Source organism: Homo sapiens, chromosome 12 (genome assembly GCF_000001405.40).
Source record: "Homo sapiens chromosome 12, GRCh38.p14 Primary Assembly".
Taxonomy (NCBI): domain Eukaryota; kingdom Metazoa; phylum Chordata; class Mammalia; order Primates; family Hominidae; genus Homo; species Homo sapiens.
In genome coordinates this window covers 92,084,850-92,106,080 of record NC_000012.12, presented here as the reverse complement: position 1 = coordinate 92,106,080, position 21,231 = coordinate 92,084,850, and the positions used below count along the sequence as shown (strand labels likewise).

General features: G+C 40.2%; 1 long non-coding RNA gene across 5 annotated transcripts in view, besides 1 other annotated feature; it reads left to right on the top strand.

The window, feature by feature from the left end:
• The window catches only part of LINC01619 (long intergenic non-protein coding RNA 1619), a 157,856-nt gene that overhangs the window by 36,751 nt on the left and 99,874 nt on the right, over positions 1–21,231 (top strand). The window lies entirely within an intron of this gene.
• Positions 6,734–7,028: an enhancer, noted in NCBI's record as "tiled region #10753; HepG2 Activating DNase matched - State 7:EnhWF". NCBI's record gives its function as "activates a minimal TATA promoter and a strong SV40 promoter by Sharpr-MPRA in HepG2 cells {active_cell/tissue: HepG2}" and the evidence as "EXISTENCE:reporter gene assay evidence [ECO:0000049][PMID:27701403]".

The following is a 21,231-nucleotide window of genomic DNA, read 5'->3' as shown; positions in this document are numbered from 1 at the left end:
GGGAAAGGAGGGGATCTGATAAAACTTCTTATTAAGATATTTTCACATTCCAGACTCCCTCTGCCAATCCACAGTGTTGGGTTGGCAGCCCAAGGTTGCAAGCTTGTCTGAGCCAACGGAAATGAATCTGTCCATCCCCAAGCAGGTGCCCGGTTTTCTGCCCTTAGCTCTCTGCCTTTGTTAATTTCAACAGCATATTTCTCAAAAGAAGTTGCTGACCACTTTTTTACTTCCTCTTCATCCTATTTATCAGAGGTTACTGGGAGTGTGGTCGTATGACTTTCTACTGACTCCACTGTATCTTACGGTGCTGGGACCTTCTTTTTGAACTCCAGCTTTTGCAAGATTGTTGGCCACAGCTATTCTGCATCTATTAAGTATGGAATCTTTCTTCGTCAAAAGTTAACAGCAGTGGCTCTGTGTAGTGGATTGTGGGTGACTGTTTTTCTCTTCGTACTTTTCTATGTCTTCTAAGGGAAACATGTATTTCTTTTATATCAAAGAGAAGAAAGTTTAAAAAAAGGTTCTAAAAGTACTGGTGTAGCAGTAATCTCTACTTACTAATCAGTGTCTACATTGCTTCTTTCCTTTGCTTACTGAAGAGTGCCCAGACATGTGCAGATAGTATTTCAATCAATGAAACCAGATAGATCAATTCTGTCTAATAAGACCCTATTAAAAAACATTAGGTGTATGTGAGAAAGTATCTAAGAGTGTTTTGTATTTGCATTAAAAGAAACCTGGACTTCTGGTTTGTGGTCCAGCATGTAAGGACAAGTAAAAAGCTGAACAATGGCTGGGCGCAGTGGCTCACACCTATAATCCCAGCACTTTGGGAGGCCAAGGCGGGTGGATCATTTGAGGTCAGGAGTTCAAAACCAGCCAAGCCAACATGGTGAAATCCCATCTTTACAAAAAATACAAAAAATTAGCTGTGTGTAGTGGTGTATACCTGTAATCCCAGCTACTTGAGAGGCTGAGGCAGGAGAATTGCTTGAATCTAGGAGGTGGAGTTTGCAGTGAGCCGAGATCATGCCACCGCACTACAGCTTGGGTGACAGAGCGAGACTCTGTCTCAGTAAAAAAGAAAACAAACAAAAAAGCTGAACAAACAAACAAAAAACCAACAAAACAAAAAACCCAAAAAGCTGGAATGGTACTTATTGAATTGTCAATAGTAGTTATCTCGAAGTAGATTCTAGGGTCATGAGTACTTTTACTTTATGCTAAATTTGTTGGTTTATTTTGAATTTTAATTGTGATTATGTGTTACATTTGTAATGATAAAAATATTTGAAAGTAATTTAAGAATCCCAATCTCACATATATTTCCAAAGATCTTTGAATATCCAGTGGTCCCACCTACATCTGTTATTAATTAACCCCTTACTTCCACCCTCTCTTACAGCAAGAAACCCTGACGCTTAGCCCTAATATTCCCCACCATGGAAAATTTGGAAAATGTTAGTATGAGAGCTGATCTGGGTTGGGTAAAGCTGTTAAACTTTCTTTATGGCTTTTGCTTTTTGGGTTATGCATAGAAAGGCTTTTTCTACTCCAAGGTTATTTTGAAAAAAATCTGCTTTTATTTTGTCTCGAATATTTTGTTATTTAGGATTATTGTACTGTACAATTTCTAATCCACCTGGAATTTATTTGTGTATAAACTGTAAGGTAATAATCAGATACAGGATTTTTGACCTTACTATTCTGTAATCAACACAAATTAAAGTTGACATTTACAAGTGCACATGGTAAAAATAAATTATTAATTAGTTACATCCAGAATAAAATATTTTTGACAAATTTTTATCTGTAATATTTGACTTCATAGAAACAATGGTAGTAGAAGAAAACTCCCTTTATGGCTTTGGCTTTGGGTTATGGATAGAAAGGTTTTTTTCTACTCTAAGATTATAAAAATAAAAAAAATCTACTTTTTTTTTTTGGCGGGGGGGGGATGGAGTCTTGCTCTGTTGCCCAGGCTGGAGTGCAGTGGCATGATCTCGGCTCACTGCAAGCTCCATGTCCTGGGTTCACGCCATTCTCCCATCTCAGCCTCCCAAGTAGCTGGGACTACAGGCGCCCGCCACCATGCCCGGCTAATTTTTTGTATGTTTTAGTAGAGATGGGGTTTCACCGTGTTAGCCAGGATGGTCTCAATCTCCTGACCTCGTGATCTGCCCTCCTTGGCCTCCCAAAGTGCTGGGATTACAGGTGTGAGCCACCGTACCCAGCCTCTATTTTTTTCTAATACTAGTTTTTCCCTAAGAGCAGCAAAAGTTTTAACTGAAAGATTTGTTCAAAAAAATACAATTTGCTGCAAGCCATTAGAAGATTTAAATGAAAATAAATTTTGGTCTTAATGAAAATAATTTTAATAAGATAAAAATAGAAATGGGGAAAAAGAAAAACAAACAAAAATTAGAAATGGTGATAATTAGAAATGTTTTAATTATGCTATATGGCAAATTGATTAAGAAAAAATAAAATTGATTTAATCCCCAAAAAAATTCTCATGGAAAATTCATCAGTGTTGGTAAATTATTATTTTAAAAAATTGTATTAATAAAACTAGAGCAAAAAAGTCTTGGGGCCAAATCAGTGCAGTCAAGATGTTCCTTTTCTGTGGAGAATATATTTTATTTTTCTAAATAAGTTGCTCGTTATTCTGATACCAGTTATGTAGGCTTCAACCAATTCTTTCTTAATTGGATTGAAATGAAACTTTTTCATTTACTGAATTCCCATACTGGGGTCTATGTCTGTACTCTTCATTTCTGTGATCTGCTTGCCTAATGTGCACTGTTTTCAATTATTATAGATTTACAGTAGTGTTGAGACTGGGCACAGTGGCTCACGCCTGTAATACCAGCACTTTGGGAGGCTGAGGTGGGCAGATCACTTGAGGTCAGGAGTTCGAGACCAACTTGGCCAGCATGGAGAAATCCTGTCTCCACTAAAAATGCGAAAATCAGCCAGGTGTGGTGGCGGGCACCTGCAATCTCAGCTACTCAGGAGTCTGAGGCAGGAGAATCACTTGAACCCGGGAGGTGGAGGTTGCAGTGAGCTGAGATCATGCCACTGCTCTCCAGCCTGGGCAACAGAACAAGACGCCGTCTCAAAAAAATAAATAAATAAAATAAAAAATAAAAAAATACATGAAGTAGTGTTGATAACTAGTTGACTAAGCTCCCTCTTCCCCCAGTTTGAACTGAATTATTTGTCAACATTTTGTTGGCTGTTCATTCACATTTACTCTGCCATGAAACTTTAGCAACAGTTAGTTAAATAAACCAGATTTTTAATAAACCATTGGCAAGCTGCACAAATCAGGCATTTTAGTTTTAATCTCCTATCATTAAAATTTTAACCTCTAGCCTTGATTTTATATGCAGATACAGATATACAGATGTTTGTGTATTCCCCTTGTTTGATGTTTAGCTTTTAAATTAATCAAAATTATTTAATTTATTTTTGCTTTCAGATCCTGTTTTTATTTTGAGGCTTTATAATCTTTTGTTATTCATTCCTTCTGAAGATAATTTTAGGTAGTATATTATATTTTGTTCATTATCTGTTCATTTTCAAAAATGATTAGGCCGGAAAGCCCTTGCACTTCTGCTGCTCCATATGATATAATTTTGGCATCTCTGTGGAAGTAAAAATGGCAAAGAAGGTTTATTTATATTTCTGAAATTCATTACATACTCTGAGTGTTGATGAAGGGCCAAGATGTCTAAGTGGCCTTGCTAGTGGCATTTCGGTATGTCCTCTTTCTCTTTTCTAGAGAATAGGAATCTATTATTTATCCTGTCCTTTGCTGTGTCCTCTAAATTCCTGGATGAAATTCACAAGGAGCTTGTAGAGTCTACTTCGCTGTTTGATGAGAGTTGGTGATTTGAATTTGCATTCTAATGTGTCTCCTAAGGAGAGAGACTTAACCTTCACAAAGTTGTATTTTGTGAATTTGATATGAGATAATGACCAATTCTTTGAACTGATATCTTGCTTATATATCACTTGTTTATGGCTTATTTTTGGATTAACGACATAACCGTTGGTTCCGTATGGGTTTTGTTTTTTTAAACTACCTTTTATATACAAGAAATACCCCATGAAGGCAGAAATTTGGTCTAATTTCTAATTCTGTCTTCAGTGTATAAAATAATGCCTGGCTCAACACAGTGACATGTGCCTGTAGTCCTAGCTATCCAGGAGGCTGAGATGGGAGAATCTCTTGAACCTAGGAGTTTGAGGCTGCAGTGAGCTATGATCGCATCATTGCATTCCAGCCTGGACAGACAGAGTGAGACCCCATTTCTATAAACATAAGTAAAGTTAAGCTAAAAAATGCCTGGCACATAGTAAAATTAAGCTAAAAAATGCCTGGCACATAGTAGCCACCCAGTAAATATTGTCGATTGACTGACCTGCATATCTATGTTTCCAAACGCAACTTTTGAAGGATGGTAACTAATCAGAATTAGCTATTTGGCTGCCCCAGATGCCATTAACAGCATATCTGAAACAGATCTCACACAAAGCCTCTGACTCCTCTTTTTCTTTCTTTCTTTCTTTCTTTCTTTCTTTCTTTCTTTCTTTCTTTCTTTCTTTCTTTCTTTCCTTTCTTTCTTTCTTTCTTTCTTTCTTTCTTTCTTTCTTTCTTTCTTTCTTTCTTTCTTTCTTTCTTCTTTCTCTTTCTTGCTTGCTTGCTTGCTTTTCTTTTTTCTTTTTTTTTTTTTTGATGGGGTTTTGCCATGTTGCCCAGGCTGGTCTCAAACTCCTGGGCTCAATTGATCCACCTGCCTTGTCCTCCCAAAACCCTCTTATTCCCAAACTCTGATATTGGCGGCCTCCTCCTCCTCCTCATAATGTTCCTCCTTCTCCTCCTCCTCATAATGTTCAGGCTCAAACCTTTTCATTCATTTGTGAGTTTCTCTCTCTGTCTCCCCCAACATCCCCCATCACCTTCATGTCCATATCCAATTAACCCTCATATTTGCTGATTCTTCTTTACAGTATCTCTATACCTGTTCATTTCTTCCATTTCCCACTGCCCTAGTTTGGGATCTTGCTCTCTCTCACTTGGCTATTACAATTGCCTGTAATTATTGTCTTTTCCTTCCAGGGCTCTCCCTACTCTCCCACTTTGCCAAAGTCTGTTTCAATATTGCTTCTAGAACAATCATCCTTAAACAGGGTTGACCTTGTCACTGTATGCCTGTAATGATTTCTTATTGCCTAGAGAATGCCATTCAAATTCTTGAGCCTAATTTGCCTATTCTTCCAGAATGTGCAAGGCCCAGATCATGATTTCCAGTTTAATTTGTATCCTGCCATGCATGTTATTTTCCAGCCAGGACTGTGTCCCGTCATTCCCTAGACACACCCCACAGTTTATTTGCTGCTATTCTTTGTCCTGTCTCTTTGGGCTTCAGCTACACAGACCTCCTCTCAGTTGATTGCCTCCCTGCCTTCTCCCAACATAGTCATGGCCAGAAGGGCCCTCCCTGGTTTTTCTTCCAGCAGTACTTAGCTGCATAATGGTCACTCATTCTCCAGATCTCACTCCACGATCACTTCTCAGGGAAGCCGTCCATGATCTGCCACTCCCCATTTTCTACCTTTAGACTAGGTCAGTGATATGGTTTGGCTATGTCCCCAGCCAAATCCCGTCTTGGGATTATGGGAATTGTAGCTCCTATAATCCCCACATGTCATGGGAGGGACCCGGTGGGAGGTAATTGAATCACAGGGGTGGGTTTTTCCCATGCTGTTCTCATGACAGTGAATAAGTCTCACGAGATCTGATGGTTTCATAAAGGGCAGTTCCCCTGCACATGCTCCCTTGCCTGCCACCATGTAAGATGTGCCCCTGCTCCTCCTTCACCTTCCACCATGACTGTGAGGCCTCCCCAGCCATGTGGAACTGTGAGTCCATTAAACTTATTTCCCTTATAAATTACCCAGTCTCCGTATGTCTTTATAGCAGTGTGAGAACAGACTAATAGTGATACAGTTAGATACTAGGTCACTGTCACAGCTCCTGTACCAAATAGTCCACAGTTCTTAATTATACACATTTGAGAGACCATTTGATTAAGGATTGTCTCCCCACTGTACTGTAAACTCTACGGATAGAGAGATCTGGACCACTTTGCTCACCATTGTATTCCTTCTACCCAGCTCAGCAGTACATACTACATACCTAATGAATGAATGAATGCATCAATGGCTTTAAAAGCCCTGGCCATGCTCCTTACCCCATCTCCTCTCAGAATCTGTCCGAGAACCCCCATTTTGAATTCATCTCTCGATTTTTTCCAATCCGATCATGCTTAACCTCTTCTCTAGTAGGCAGTAGCTCCAGAGAGTAGTTAAGTCAGGAAAATGGTCAGGTTTGTGTTTAAGGATGAACATTAGTGCAAGGCTTTGTCCATAGGAGTGAATAATAAAGGTCTGTAAAAGTTGAAATTTTGGTTAAATTTGAAATGTTCAAAGTATTATGTCGTGTTTCTAATGACATGAAAGTTTGAGTCAGAAGTCCATGTGAAACAGTGTCCTGTGATTTTACCTTAATCTTAGCCAGTCAATGTACGAATGCATGAGGGTGTTAATTAGGGAGACAGGGAAGGAATCTGTGATGAATTCAGTGGGAGTCCACACCCATAAGTAGAAATCCAGGCTCTAGTATTGGTGTAAGAAGTTAATATCATCTTCTTACATTCTTCTTTGGTTTTCTTTTGCACACCTACCTTTATAATCTTGTTAATAAATTCTAGCAGATCATGATAACCAGGACATGGCAGGAAATAATGATTAACTAATCTGTGTTTATCCTGTCAACTGTACTGTATCTGGGAACATAAGTCCTCATGGAAAAATTTGGCCTTTGTTTATTTAAATCTGCTCCCACAAAGGAAAGGTAACGCATGAGTTTTGCCAAGGCTGCAGGGCTTTTTATTCTTTCCCTGCCCCACCTCCCCCACCCTTCCAATAGAAATCTAAGGGCTGCAGGTTTATTGCTCTTTATTCTATTCAATGCAAAATGAGTTGTCCTTGTTGTCCTTCAGCCTTGTTTTGCCAAGTTTTCATTTGGACTAATAGATGGTGTATTTCAAAAAATAGTGCTCAAAATGTAATATGGCACCATTAGCTTTGGACTACCACAGAGAGTTTGGAGAATTTCCTGGGGCCTATGTGTTAATTTAAAGTTGCAGGAAAGAACATGGGAAGGAACAACAATAGCTGTGGTTATACTCTATCCTAGAGCTGCCAAGCAGGTTAATATTAATGGTAATGGCCTCATGCAGGGCTGCATTATGGGTATTTTCTTATCTTAGCCATTAGAAGGGTGCTGGGGTTAGGTTTTAATAACAGAAAATATACTCATTTATCTTTCTTGCTATTTAAAAATGTGAGAAAACTCCTAAGAGAGATCATTCTTCTGAGAGTCAGGAAAGGTGCTGAGATGCAAATTATTCAATTTGATAAAACAGTACCTAGTATGTTTCTTATTTATTTTTTACAGACAGGATCTCCATCAGCAGTGGTACAATCATAGCTCACTGCAGCCTTGAGCTCCTGGGCTCAAGTGATTCTCCTGCCTCGGCCTCCCTGAGTAGCTGGGAAGACAGGTGCACCACCATGCCTAGCTTTTTTTTTTTAACTTTTTATTTTTTGTAGAGATGGGATCTTATTATGTTGCCCAGGCTGACTTAATTGTTTCTTTGGTTGAATTGTTCCTTCCTGAAGGTAGGAGGATACCTCTCTGCCTAAAGGTAAGGTCCAGCAGAGGAAAAAAGGCAAACTCCAATGCTTTAGAAGAGAAAGCTGAGGTGTTTGGGATTTCAGGCAGTCCTCTTTATCTACAGATAAGAAAGAAAGACAATGAGATTATTGTCAGGTTCTGGGACTTTCATAACTTTTCCATGTTTGTTATTGTGGTTATTCTTTGTGCCTATGATGAGTACCAGCAAAAGGCTTAAAATGAAAATCTTGGCTGGGCACGGTGGTTCACGCCTGTAATCCCAGCACTTTGGGAGGCTGAGGTGGGTGGATCACTTGAGGTCAGGAGTTCGAGACCAGCCTGGCTAACATGGTGAAACCCTGTCCTTACTAAAAATACAAAAATTAGCCAGGTGTGGTGGTGCATGCCTGTAATTGCAGCTACTTGAGAGGCTGAGGCAGGAGAATTGCTTGAACCTGGGTGGTGGAGGTTGTGGTGAATCGAGATTGCACCACTTCACTCCAACCTGAGTGACAGAGAGAGACTCTGTCTCACACACACACAAAAGAAGTCTCCCAAAATGAAAATCACTGTAGACAGTGTAATAGATAAGTAGATATGGTAAATTAATTCATCCACTCAACTCAACCAGTTTTCATTGAGTACCCATTCTGTGCCAGGGGTTCTTCCAGAGACTAGAAATACAATGATGAACATCACAAAGGCATGTGACTTCACTGAGCTGACATTGTAGTGTGAGACAATGAAGGAAATTAATAAAATTTAGAGTATTAGATACTGATAAGTGCTACAAAGGAAAAAAAATGAAGGAGTATAGACAATGTTAAAGATGATGCTGGGAGTGGTGGCTCATGCCTGTGACCCCAGCACTTTGGGAGGCCTAGATGGGAGCATCACTTTAGTCCAGGGGTTCGAGACCAGCCTGGGCAACATAGCAAGACCCTATCTCTTAAAAAAAAAAAAGTTAAAGGTTTTAAAATTTAAAAAAATTTTAAATATGATAGTCAGGAAATGCTTTGTTGAAAAGCATTTTATTTAAAATAAAGGTCTGAAGGAAGGGATGGAGCTAACTGTGTGGTTATTTATCGGGGAGGGTGTTCCAGGCAAAGGAACAGTAAGTTCAAAGGTAACTTCTGAGACTAGGTTAGAAAAGGAATTTATTCACTCGATGTATCTGAAAACTCAAGGGCTCAAGGCTGGCTTCAGGCATGGCTTGATAAAAGGATTAAGAAAACATCCTTTGCTTTGCTTTCCCCTGTGTTGTTTTATTCTGACACAGGCTGGCCTTTTGTGACTGTAGGATAGCTATAATACCTCTGGTTCTTACGTCTTTGTACTTCAACTCTGTGGGTAGAGTGAAGGGCTTTGTCTCAGCATTGCCAGTAAAGTCTCATTTTCTCTTTTCACTCTGATTGAGTCACTGCCCATTTCTGCACCAATCACTATGGTCAGAGCAAATGCCATGTGCTGATTGTTTTATGTTTGTGTCACTTACTATACCAGAATGGCATAGACTGAGAGGGTATCTGTCTATGTGTCTGTTTTGGTGTATAGTGTACAGAGGAGTGGGGTGAAGGGAGGCAAGAGTTCCCTTGAGAAAACTGAGGCCCAATAGAAGGGTAAATGGATTTTTGGATAGCAAAAACAGCAAGACTGTACCATATCACGTCTTTTAGCTTAAATAAGATCCTTGGCAGAGTGAGATCTATCACAGACAACCTATGAAAAGCATTTCATCACCATTGAACATAGTTTACTTTTCTTTAAAATGAAGAGGTTGGACTCAGGGTTTTTAAGATTACATTCTAATTTATGGGCTATGACTCAGTGTATTTTTTCAGGGTATTTTTAAAGATGTATTAAAGATAAAAAATCAGAATGGCAAATACAGTCTGTTAAAGTGAAGTCAAAATGGAGTATTTGGCATTTATTATGGCTGTTGATACTTGGCATAAGGGCCAGCATTGAATATAGGCCTAAAATGCGAGTTTCTTTTTTTCATTTTTCTGAACCTATGGATTGTATTGAATTAAAATGCAAGCTTCTTAAAAGCTGATGTGATCAATCTCAGATGCTTCTAATTTACTGTTTCCTCTACTTGATAAACTACAGGAGGAGAGACAAAGAAAGGGTACACCTCAGGATCTCTGCTGGGTCAATATGCCACCTGCAGTGGGGATACTGAGTTGTAAGCCGGCTCCAGGAGCACATGTAGCAAAGCTTCTATGTGTGTAGGGGAGAATGAAAGCTCTTCACTCTTTTGTATTGGCCTCTGTGACATTACAATAATGTGAGCATAGAGTGTCCTGAAGTTAGAAGGCAGCTCTGGAGATTCATTTCTTGGACTTTCTTTTTTTTTTTTTTGAGATGGAGTCTTGCTCTGTCGCCCAGGCTGGAGTGCAGTGGTGTGATCTCTGCTCACTGCAAGTTCCACCTCCCGGGTTCACACCATTCTCCTGCCTCAGCCTCCCGAGCAGCTGGGACTACAGGTGCCCGCCACCACACCCGGCTATTTTTGTATTTTTAGTAGAGACGGGGTTTCACCGTGTTAGCCAGGATGATCTCGATCTCCTGACCTCGTTATCCGCCCGCCTCGGCCTCCCAAAGTGCTGGGATTACAGGCATGAGCCACCGCGCCCGGCCCGTTTCTTGGACTTTCAAGATCGTGCAGCCCTTCCTTAGTGGTGGATTGGATGGAGAATGGCTGAAGTACATGGCCACTCCCACATGAAGTGTCTTGAGCCTTAGCCTCTCCTCAAGCAGTTACTTCCAACAGCAAGTGACCTTTATAAATATGTTTAATATTTTATATCAATATCAGAGCTCAGCACTTTATATTAAATTTGGAGATGTGCGTGTCTGATATTTGGCATTGCATAAGAGAGTAAGGTATCTTCTTCAAGCTTCCTGCATGATTTGGGCAACACCTAAGCTACCTCCATGTACAATTTCAAGTGTCAGGAACAGTGCACTTGGGTAACCCAAAACCTACTTTTGTGCATAATATCTCAAAAATTTCTGTGTTCTTCAGCACAGTACACGAAGGCCACGCCAGACTCAGACTACCCTCCTTCTATGACAGATTCAAGGATTTGTGCACTCTTGTCTTCTTAACCAAATAAAGAAACATTTTTATTCAGATTCAGGAAGTCTTCAGAGCCCCACAAAGACCCCTTGCATTTCTCCAGGCAGTTTTTGTTTTAACTTGGAAGGGCAACACTGCAGCCCTCCAGGAGGAGGCAGGGTCCCTTGAAACTCCCTCCCATACCCATCCAAAACATTCTCTTTATCATGGATTTTATGTGCTTGACTCATCAGAATGGTATTTGTCTCTGAAATATTTCCCTAAAATAAATTATACTTAATAATCTCTTATACTATGCTGTGATCAATATTGTTCCTATGCTCTGTTATCACAGGCAGTCAGCCAATAAGCACTGGCTCAGCAAACTGGACTGTACACATTTAGCCAATGAGAGTGACTCTGTCCTTCCTGAGTTGGTGTGTCTGCAGTGTGTGTTGTTTCTTCCACCGTGGTGTCTCTGCCATCTATTTGTGTTCTTTTCATGGCTGACACAAAAGCAATAGCAATAGGCTTGCTGTAAAGAAAGAAAAGAAAAACAGTTATAATAGATATTATAATGTAAATGTTATCAAGAGAAGGGGAAGACTGGGAGAAAATATTTGCAAAATATGTGTCTTTTTTTTTGGAGACAGGGTCTCCCTCTGTCACCCAGGCTGGAGTGCAGTGGCATGATCACAGCTCACTGCAGCCTCGACTTCATGGGCTCAGGTCATCTTCCTGTCTCAGCTTCCTGAGTAGCTCTGACCACAGGCATGCGCCATCACGTCTGGCTAATTTTTCTTGTTATTTGTAGATACTGGGGTTTGGGGGGGTGGGGTGTCTCACTTTGTTGCCCAGGCTAATCTTGAACTCCTGGGCTCAAGCAATCCTCCCACCTCAGCCTCCCAAAGTGCTGGGATTACAAGGGTGAGCCACCATATCCAGCCTGAAAAATGAATATCTGATAAAGGACTGCTATCCAAAATATACAAAGAATTCTTAAAATTAACAATAAGAAAAAAGGCCAGGCAGAGTGACTCGTGCCTGTAATCCCACCATTTTGGGAGGCTGAGGATCCCTTGAGGTTAGGATGGACAACATACCCATCTCTACAGAAAAAAAACAAACAAACAAGGAAAAAATAAACTTACTTGGGCATGGTGGTGCATGCCTGTAGTCCCAGCTACTCACAGGGCTGAGGCATGAGGATTGTTGGAGCCCAGGAATTTGAGGCTGCAGTGAGGTATAAATGCACCTTTGCCCTCCAGCCTGGGTGACAGAGCAAGACCCTGTCTCTAAAATTTAAAAAAAAAAAAAAAAAAAAAAAGAAGAAGAAGAAAGAAAAGAAAAGAAAAGGGAAAGAAAGAGAAGAAAACAATGCAATAAAGAAATAGGCAAAAGACCTGAACAGATGCCATGCCAAAGAAGATATACAGATGGCAAATAATCATATGCTTAACATCCTATGTAATTAGGGGATTCCAAATTAGAGTAATAATGACATACCACTACACACCTATTAGAATAGACAGAATCTAAAACACTGACAACATCAAATACTGGTGAGAAGGGGAACAACAGCAACTCTCATGCATTGCTAGTGGGAACGCAAAATAGTACAGTCACTTTAGAAGAGTTTGGCAGTTCTTACCTAACTAAATATCCTCTTAGCATATGATTCATATGATCCAGCTATCACACTCCTTGACTTACTTAATGGAATTGAAAACTTATGTCCATACAAAAACCTGCAGATGGGTGTTTATAGCAGCTTTATTCATAATTGCCAAAATTTGGAAGCAACCAATATGTCCTTCAGTAGGTGAATGAATAAATAAACTGTGGTATATCCAGACAATGAACTAATATTCAGGGATAAAAACAAATGAAGTTGGCTGGGCGCAGTGGCTCACACCTGTAATTCCAGCAATTTGGGAGGCCGAGGCGGGTGGATTGCTTGAGTCCAGCAGTTTGAGGCCAGCCTGGGCAACATGGTGAGACCCCGTCTCTACAAAAATGCAAAAATTATCTGGGCATGGTGGCATGCACCTGTGGTCTCAGCTAATAGGGAGGCTGAGGTGGGAGGATCACTTGAGCCCAGGAGGTCGAGGTGGCAGTAAGCCAAGATTGCACCACTGCACTCCGGGCTAGACTACAGAGTGAGACCCTGTCTCAAAAACAAGCAAACCAGCAAACAAAAAACGAAACAAATGAATTACCAAGTCATGAAAAGACATAGAAAAGACTTAGATGCATATTACTAAGTGAAAGATGCCAATCTGAAGAGGCTAGATATTGTGTGATTCCATGGAAACGTGAACAGTCAACGATTAGTGGTTGCTAGAGGTTAGGTGGGAAGGAGGAATGAATAGACAGAGTATAGAGGATTTCTTGGGCAGTGAAACAACTCAGTATGATACTGTAAAGGCGGATACATGTCATATATTTGTTAAAAACCGATAGAAAGCACACGTAGAGTGAACTCCAATGTAAACTATAGACTTTGAGTGATACCGCGTCATGTAGGTTCATCCATTATAACAAACGTGCCACTTTGGTGGGGGATGTTGACAGTGGGGAAGTTGTGCATGTGTGGAGGCAGAGGGATTATGAAAACTTTCCATTTAATTTCTCTGTGATCCTAAAACTGCTCTCAAAAGAAAGCCTATTTTAATAATGCAAGTTTTATGGTTCATTGAGGTGCCTATGAGGACTGTGCTGTGCGATCTCAGCCTGTTCAGAGCCTTTCAGACAAGCTTTCCTGGCCCTTCCTTGTGTCTGTTTCTTGAAGACTAGGGAAAGAAAGTGGAGAGGGATGCTTCTCATTTGAGTTTCTAGAAGGTCTTCGTTGGAAATCATTCCCCTTCCTTATCAGAGTTGGGCAGTAGCAAGGGCAACCTTCTCAGGGAGGACGGCTAGATAACAGTGGAAGCCCTCTTTACCAGCAGGGCCGCCGCAGCAAGAGCCCACTGCCTGTGGCTGCCAGCCTTGCTGGCTGAACAAGGAGAAGGGTTTGTTAAGTGAATGGCTAATAATTGTGGTAATGGCCAACATCTAATGTTCGTACACATTGAGCCAGGCAGAATGCTAAGTGTTTTATAGGGATTGTCTCAACTCACAAAAGAATAATAGCTAGTAGCACCAACTGTATGCCAGGCACTGTTCTCAGAGCATTAGATACATTATATTGGTCTAATCATGAGAACAACCTAATGAGACCATGCCATTCTTTTTCCTGTTTTACAGATGAGGAAACTGAGGCTTAGAGAAACCAAATAACTTTCTCATTGTCACACAGCTGCTAAGTGGTATAGCCAGTAATTACACTCAAGGACAGCATGACTCCAGAATAGTCTTTTAGTCATAGTTGTGCAGGACACACATAGTTGTACAGGACACTGAATATATATTTTGCCCCCATGTTCTTCATATACCATATGTTATTGGCTAATGAGAGCTAGCACAACAGGCTATCGTACACTCTTTTCTTTTTTCTGTGAACTTATGGATTGTACTGAAATATCATACGCTCTTAATCAGTTCAGGTGATTACATCCCATTATGATTGTGATTGTTAAATGTTTAGAACAGAAAGCATAAGGCAATGGCTGGGTGCAGTGGTTCACGCCTGTAATCCCAGCACTTTGAGAGGCTGCGGTGGGTGGATCGCTTGAGTCCAAGAGTCTGATACCAGCCTGGGCAACATGGTGAAATCCCATCTCTACAAAAAAATACAAAAATTAGCTGGGCATGGTGGCGTGCACCTGTGGTCTCAGCAACTTGGGAGGCTGAGGTGGGAGAATCGCTGGAGTCCAGGGGGTGGAGGTTGTTGTGAGCCAAGATTGCACCACTGCATTCCATCCTGGGTGAAAGAGTGAGACCCTGTCTCAAAAACAAAAAACCAAACAAAACAAAACAAAAAAAGAAAGCATGAGGCAAGATTGAAGAAGTGGAAGGAGAGGTGAGGTGATTATTCAAAGGGATTATATAAGTTGCCACAATCTTGAAAAGTTTGCCCTGTTCAGGAACTGGCCTATAAGTTTGCAGAAACCTCATTTGGCCAGTCTATTGGGAGGCTTAGCTTCTCTGGAATGGGCTCTTAGAAACACCATTGAAAACCCAAGAAATGAAGTCTCTATCTTGCATAGCCAAATGATCCGCCAAAAATCAGGGTCTTTATCAGTGTGGACAAAGTTGGGAACGGGATCATTGTCCAAGACTGATCTCCCAAGGTTTAGACCCCAGTTCTCATTATTCCAGGGAGAGGTGAGTGCATCCCCACCCGTGAACATAGAGGTAGTGAACCCTGCTGCTACTCTGCTACATTATACAGGACACTTGCGAGGCTTGTGCCCCAGCTTCTGATCACTTTAGAGTCCCAGTTCTTCTATTCCATATTGCTATTTTTTTCCTGGTCCCTGATCAGGTAAGCAGAGGGTTCAATATTAATCGTGTAATGTAAAAGCCTCCCACCCAAGAGTTGGGAGTCTCTCTTCTGGAGTCTGATATCCGGTCTTTTCAATTTGCTAATTGATGAGCAAGAGAATCCCACACTACCTGCTACCATTGCTGTCCCTGTGAGTTCTCCCCATAATGTGTTTCCAGCAGGTCTGAATGTGAACTCTTCCCCCATTTGCCCCTGTTTGCAGGACATGGGACACCTAGCAGTATTGCTGCATATCAAATTGGATTATTATTATTTTTCTCTTTCTTTGAGATGGGGTCTTGCTATGTTACCTGTGCTGGTTTTGAACTCCTGAGCTCTCAGCCTCCTGAGTAGCTGGGATTATAGGTGTGTGCCACTGCGCCCAACTAGTGTAGGATTATTTTAATCCCTCTGACTTTCTTTTTTCTATGCTTCTACTGTTGTTCCAGCCCCATTTTCTACAATATATTCTTTCTTGTGTGTTGTAATGCTTCTAATCAATTACACCCCAGTTTTGCTGGCCTCGGGCAGCCTTTCTATATTCTAGTCTTTTAAGTGGCATTTTTATTTTTCTTTTCCAGTTTACTTTGGGTCATATGATTAAACTATTTTTATAACAGAAAAAATGAATACAATAAAGAAAAACATTAGGGAAAACACTGCTTGAGATGTGTAGGCCTTAGAATTAGGATAGTCAGGCCATTTTATCACTTCTCTCTACTTTGGTTTAGCATTGACATAATGATGAGATATATAACGTTTAAACCCAGTGTTTATGCAAGAAAGAACTTGCTGATTGTGCATCTGGACATAGCAGTACACACGAAATGCATTAAACTTTGTTTTCTGGTATTGAACTAAACTTTGCTTTTTAAATGCTTATTTCTCTGTCCAAAGGAAAGCTTTTTATATTCCAGCAATTTTGCTATGTACCACAGCAGGAAACTAAAAGGCACCTGAGAAGCTGCAATTTGTAACTAGGAAAATGGAAAGAAATTAAAATTAGCATACAAGATGTTTTTCTCTGATCCATCTTTCTGCATGTTTCACAATCTTCTTTAGAAACACTGAATTCCTCTTATTACATGACCCATAACTATAGTGCAACAAGAAGAGTACATTGCAATAATTTTAAACAAGAATAGAAAAGAAAAGTCCTAACCAAAAAAGAAATCTACCTAGCAATAATGAAGGAAATCCTTAGAAATCTTGTACTTGCCTAAAAGAACATTACCTTGTGAGCTAAATCTCATTGAAAATGGAACTTTGATGGAAAAAGTAAACATTGTTTCAAAGCTAACCACATTCGTGTCTTAGTCACATAGCTATTCTTTAAAAATGTACAGAAATGGGGATATCTAACCAGAAATACCAAATTGGAATGCAGATATTTTATTGTTTTAGAATTTGATATCTTTTATAAAAGATTTTCTAATAAGATTTCTGAAAAAATCAAAATTAGACACACAACTAGGACTTCCGTAAGTGAAGCAAATGCATTTAAATCCCTTTCTTCCTGTTCTTTTATATTAATTCTTCCTAGACTTATTAAATGCCTTCTTTTGCTTGATTTTCATTTGCTTTCTCTTTTCATCTGTTCTGTTTTCATGTTCTGTCTGAGCTAGATTGGACTTGTGGTCTCTAATTTTAGTATAAGCCTCTCATCTCTCCCTCCTAAATCACTCTATACATAATTGCTAGGATTTTCCCCCTGCAGTACTAGAGCATTCAATATAATAGTTTTCATGGTCTAATCCAGGTTTTCCTTTCTAGCTGCACTTCCTCCCACTCCGCATCTGGTCCCCTAAGACCAAGCACAGCCAGTTACTTCCTAGTCCTCAAACTCACCACGCCCACCTTTGTACCATTGCACAGAGCTTTTCTCCAGAGCACTCCTGGTCCTGCATAGAGAGCTCCTTTTCATCCTTCAATCATAAAGTTAAGCTCCCTTTTCTGATTCTTCCAGCATCTCCTCTGTGGAATTCTGTGACCCTGGACATACCTTGACCTTACTGCAATAGGTACACATTTCAGCTCACAATTTTTTTCTATTGCCCAATTGAATTTGCAATTGGAACCCTCATTCTACCTCTTGCTATCTAAGCTCAGACAAATCAGGGTATATTTTTCTATCTTTTCTCTGGGGTTATGTCTAAACCCGTGAAGCCTAAAGGGCTTATACAGACCCAAATGAGATAGGGAATGTGTTCTCAGTCATCACCTATTCTTGGTAGGCTCCACTTGATGCCCATTCTCTGCCTTCTCTCTTCTTTTGATTGTTGGTCCAGACAGGTGACGATAGCATCCCTTTTTTTTTTTTTTTTTTTTTTGAGACAGAGTCTCGCCCTGTCGCCCAGTCATGAGTGCAGTGGCGCAATCTTGGCTCACTGCAAGCTCCGCCTCCCAGGTTCACGCCATTCTCCTGCCTCAGCCTCAGCCTCAGCCTCCCGAGTAGCTGGGACTACTGGCACCCGCCACCATGCCCGGCTAATTTTTTTGTATTTTTAGTAGAGACGGGGTTTCACCGTGTTAGCCAGGATGGTCTCGATCTCCTGACCTCGTGATCCGCCCGCCTCAGCCTCCCAAAGTGCTGGGATTACAGGCGTGAGCCACCATATAGCATCACTCTTATTCTCAGCTTTGAAAGACCTTCATATTCAGCCAAACTCCCTACTTTGGTGCCCTTCCTGAGCACGTGAAAGTGTATATTTCCAGGCAGTGTTGGAAAATGGGAATGTTCAGGGTGCTAGGACTCTTGTCTCTTTTCTGGATTGCTCTCAGAAACAAGAGGCCATTCTGTTAACTCAACGAGGCTGTCTGAGGCCTCCCCGCCCCACCCTGCCCCCCCAGATACAGCATGCTGATATTTCTTTTCTGGGGTTGCATTCTTCTATTCTGGGAGCTCTTCATTTTTGGGGGGGTTCGTGTCATTCCCCCTTCCCCTGCATACGGACCCTTCTTACAGACCCGGCTGCATCTAAGTTCCTCAGTTTCTTCTGACTCCTTCTCCTCCCCACACTAAGCAGTGTTACTTAGTAGAGAGTGAGATGAATGGAGGGTGGGAGGAGGCATTGGGAAGTCTCTGTCTAACCCCATTTTGTTGTCTCTGAGCTCCCTTGGGGCTAGGCTTTTCAAACTCAAAAGCTTTTCCTCTGCTTTTAACTATAATACTGTCTTGCCAAACCCCCATAATATTAAAACGGGGCAAAAGAATGGGGTTCTAAATAAGAAATGGTCCCAATATTTCAAAATATCATCACACTGCAATAGTACTTATTATATTGTTTTAATATAGATCGTTTATTTTTAATTTTTATTTTTCTCCTTCCCCAGACCGTGAGCTTACATCTTTCCTTTTATTACTCTCTAAATCATGTAATAACACCAGAGAAAAGATGGAAAGATTGATTTACCTGAATTAGGTATCTTCAACAGGTAGAAAGAGGGTACAGAATATAAACTAAGGCCAGGTGGGGTGGCTCACACATGATCCAAGGTGGGAGGATTGCTTGAGGCCAAGAGTTCAAGGTTACAATGAGCTACGGTCATGCCACTGCAGTCCAGCCTGTCTCTAAATAAAATAAGATAAATTTAAAAAGAATATAAATTAAGCCGGGCACGGTGGTTCATATCTGTAATCCTACATGCGGGGAGGCCAAGGTGGGCAGATCACTTGAGGTCAGGAGTTCGAGATCAGCCTGACCAACATGGTGAAACCCCGTCTTTACTAAAAACACAAAAATTACCTAGGTGTGGTGCACACCTGTAATCCCAGGTACTCAGGAGGCTAAGGCAGGAGAATTGTTTGAACCTGGGAGGTGGAGGTTGCAGTGATCTGAGATGGTGCCACTGCACTCCAGCCTGGATGATGGAGTGAAACTTTGTCTCAAAAACAAACAAACTAATTAACTATATATAATATATTATATATATATATTCTACATATATATAAAATCTACATATGGATGATAGATATGTATAAATTAAATTGAACAATAGAAAAAAATATGAGCTGAAATATATACCATTGCATTAAATCAGAGTATATTCAGGGTTCCATGATGGCACAGTACCAGAGAGAGAGAGTAGGATCTCAGCATCTGGTGAATGAATTGATCAATTACATGATTAATACCAACGGCTTTCATTTATCCATTGCCTACCATATGCTAGGTACAAGCAAGTCTTCTCGACACTGTTACAAGAAGGCATTTTTTCCCCATTTATACTTGAGGAAAACAACCAAGGCTCAGAGAGGTAACATCTTTTGTCCCAAATCAAACAGCTGGTGAGTAGCAAATATAAAATTCTAATCCAGGTTATGGGTTCGAGTCCAAATCCTTTATTCTTTCCTCTCACCCATATTATATAATCAATTTTGTTGAATGTATGAGGTACTTATAGGTGCAAGATCCAGTGTGAGATACGTGTGTGTGTATTTGTATGTGTATATATATGTGTGTGCATATATATGTATATGTATATGTATATATGATGAAGTCTCTTGCTTTCTAGGGAATTAAATGTCTTTTCCAATCACCAAAAAAGATTGTTTAAATATATATTTTTGCTGGGGTATTCTTAGAATTTTGGTATTGTCATTTTCTGTGAGGCTATTGATGTTATCTAATATTTACCTCCTTGCTTATTAATAAAAGCAGAATGCAATCTCACAATTTTATACTTAGAATCTTGGTATGTTTATGCCAAATGATGTGATGTAGTTATCATTTAGGCCATTTAGCCATTGGTGCAGATGAAGAAAAGAATAGCTGTGTAAGTAATGTAGGGATAGATGTTTGCTTTTTGTACTGCCTAGCAAGATGGTGGTAGCAATTTTTACAAATAGGTTATGTAATTGTGTGTATATTCCAAGCAGCTTGTTTATATTTTCCCCCAGGGTTTAACTTTCTTATATGTCTAAAATACTCTGAGGGGAGAGAGGGAATGCCATAAACTTTTACAATCAGACATTGTCCCTGTTTCCCAGGCAAATTCAATGCACCTTCTGTTGGGTAATTGGAACCCGAGAAGTAACATGAAGTGTTTTAACAAAACATGAATGAGCTGTATTTATAATGGAATGGCAGAGATTTGGAAACCCAAACTCTTTATGTGAGAAAAAGTGATAAAAAGACACAATGAGAGGTCAGCATATGTTGACTCAGTTGTAGAATTTGGCATTCGACACATTAAACATAGGTTAATGTGAGTAAATATTTACAGAAAACTGGTCTCATGACCTTTCTGTTTCTGGGGTAGAGTTCCATTACATTGGCCAGTAATGCACTTTCTTCTTTTTTGGGGCTACTGCTGTCGGGGGTGGTAAACTGAATCATTAAAAATGAGCTGTAAAAAAATATCTCAGAGTGGTGTTTTGTTTTTTCTATTTTGGGTTAATTTGATAGGAAGAGTACATTTGGGGAGATGTGAGTAAATAGTAATAGCTCATTTTACAACAGGCTGTGTGTCTGCATGTGTGTGTTTGTGTGTGTGTAAATGTGTCTTTAGAACATCTGCACTCCTCATGCTTTATAAATGCTGTGACTCCACACTTGAAGACACAGTAATGAATGGTGTCAAGAACCAAAAGCAAAAGCCAAGTTCCATACTGCTGTGAGGATCCGGTGGCTGTGCTGGGCTGTGCAGTGTGGTAGAAAAGAAAAAGACAGCTGGTGATGAAAAAAATCTCTGTGAGCTTTCCCTGCTCATAGTCATTCTTGAAACAATGATTTAGTGAACTTTTTTTACTCATATGAACATACAAATAAGCCTTCTGCCCTCTCCACTTCCCTGCCAATCTTTCTAATTTTCCACTTTATTGGTTGATTATCATATTTCTCAGAATTCTCGGGTTAGTTTTTTTTTTCTTTCTCATGTGAGAACAGTGGTTCTTAATTTTTTTGGGAGTCACATACTTTTGAGAATCCCATGAGAGGTAGAATTTTTCTCTTAAGAAAAATTCATAGGCTGGGTGTGGTGGCTCAT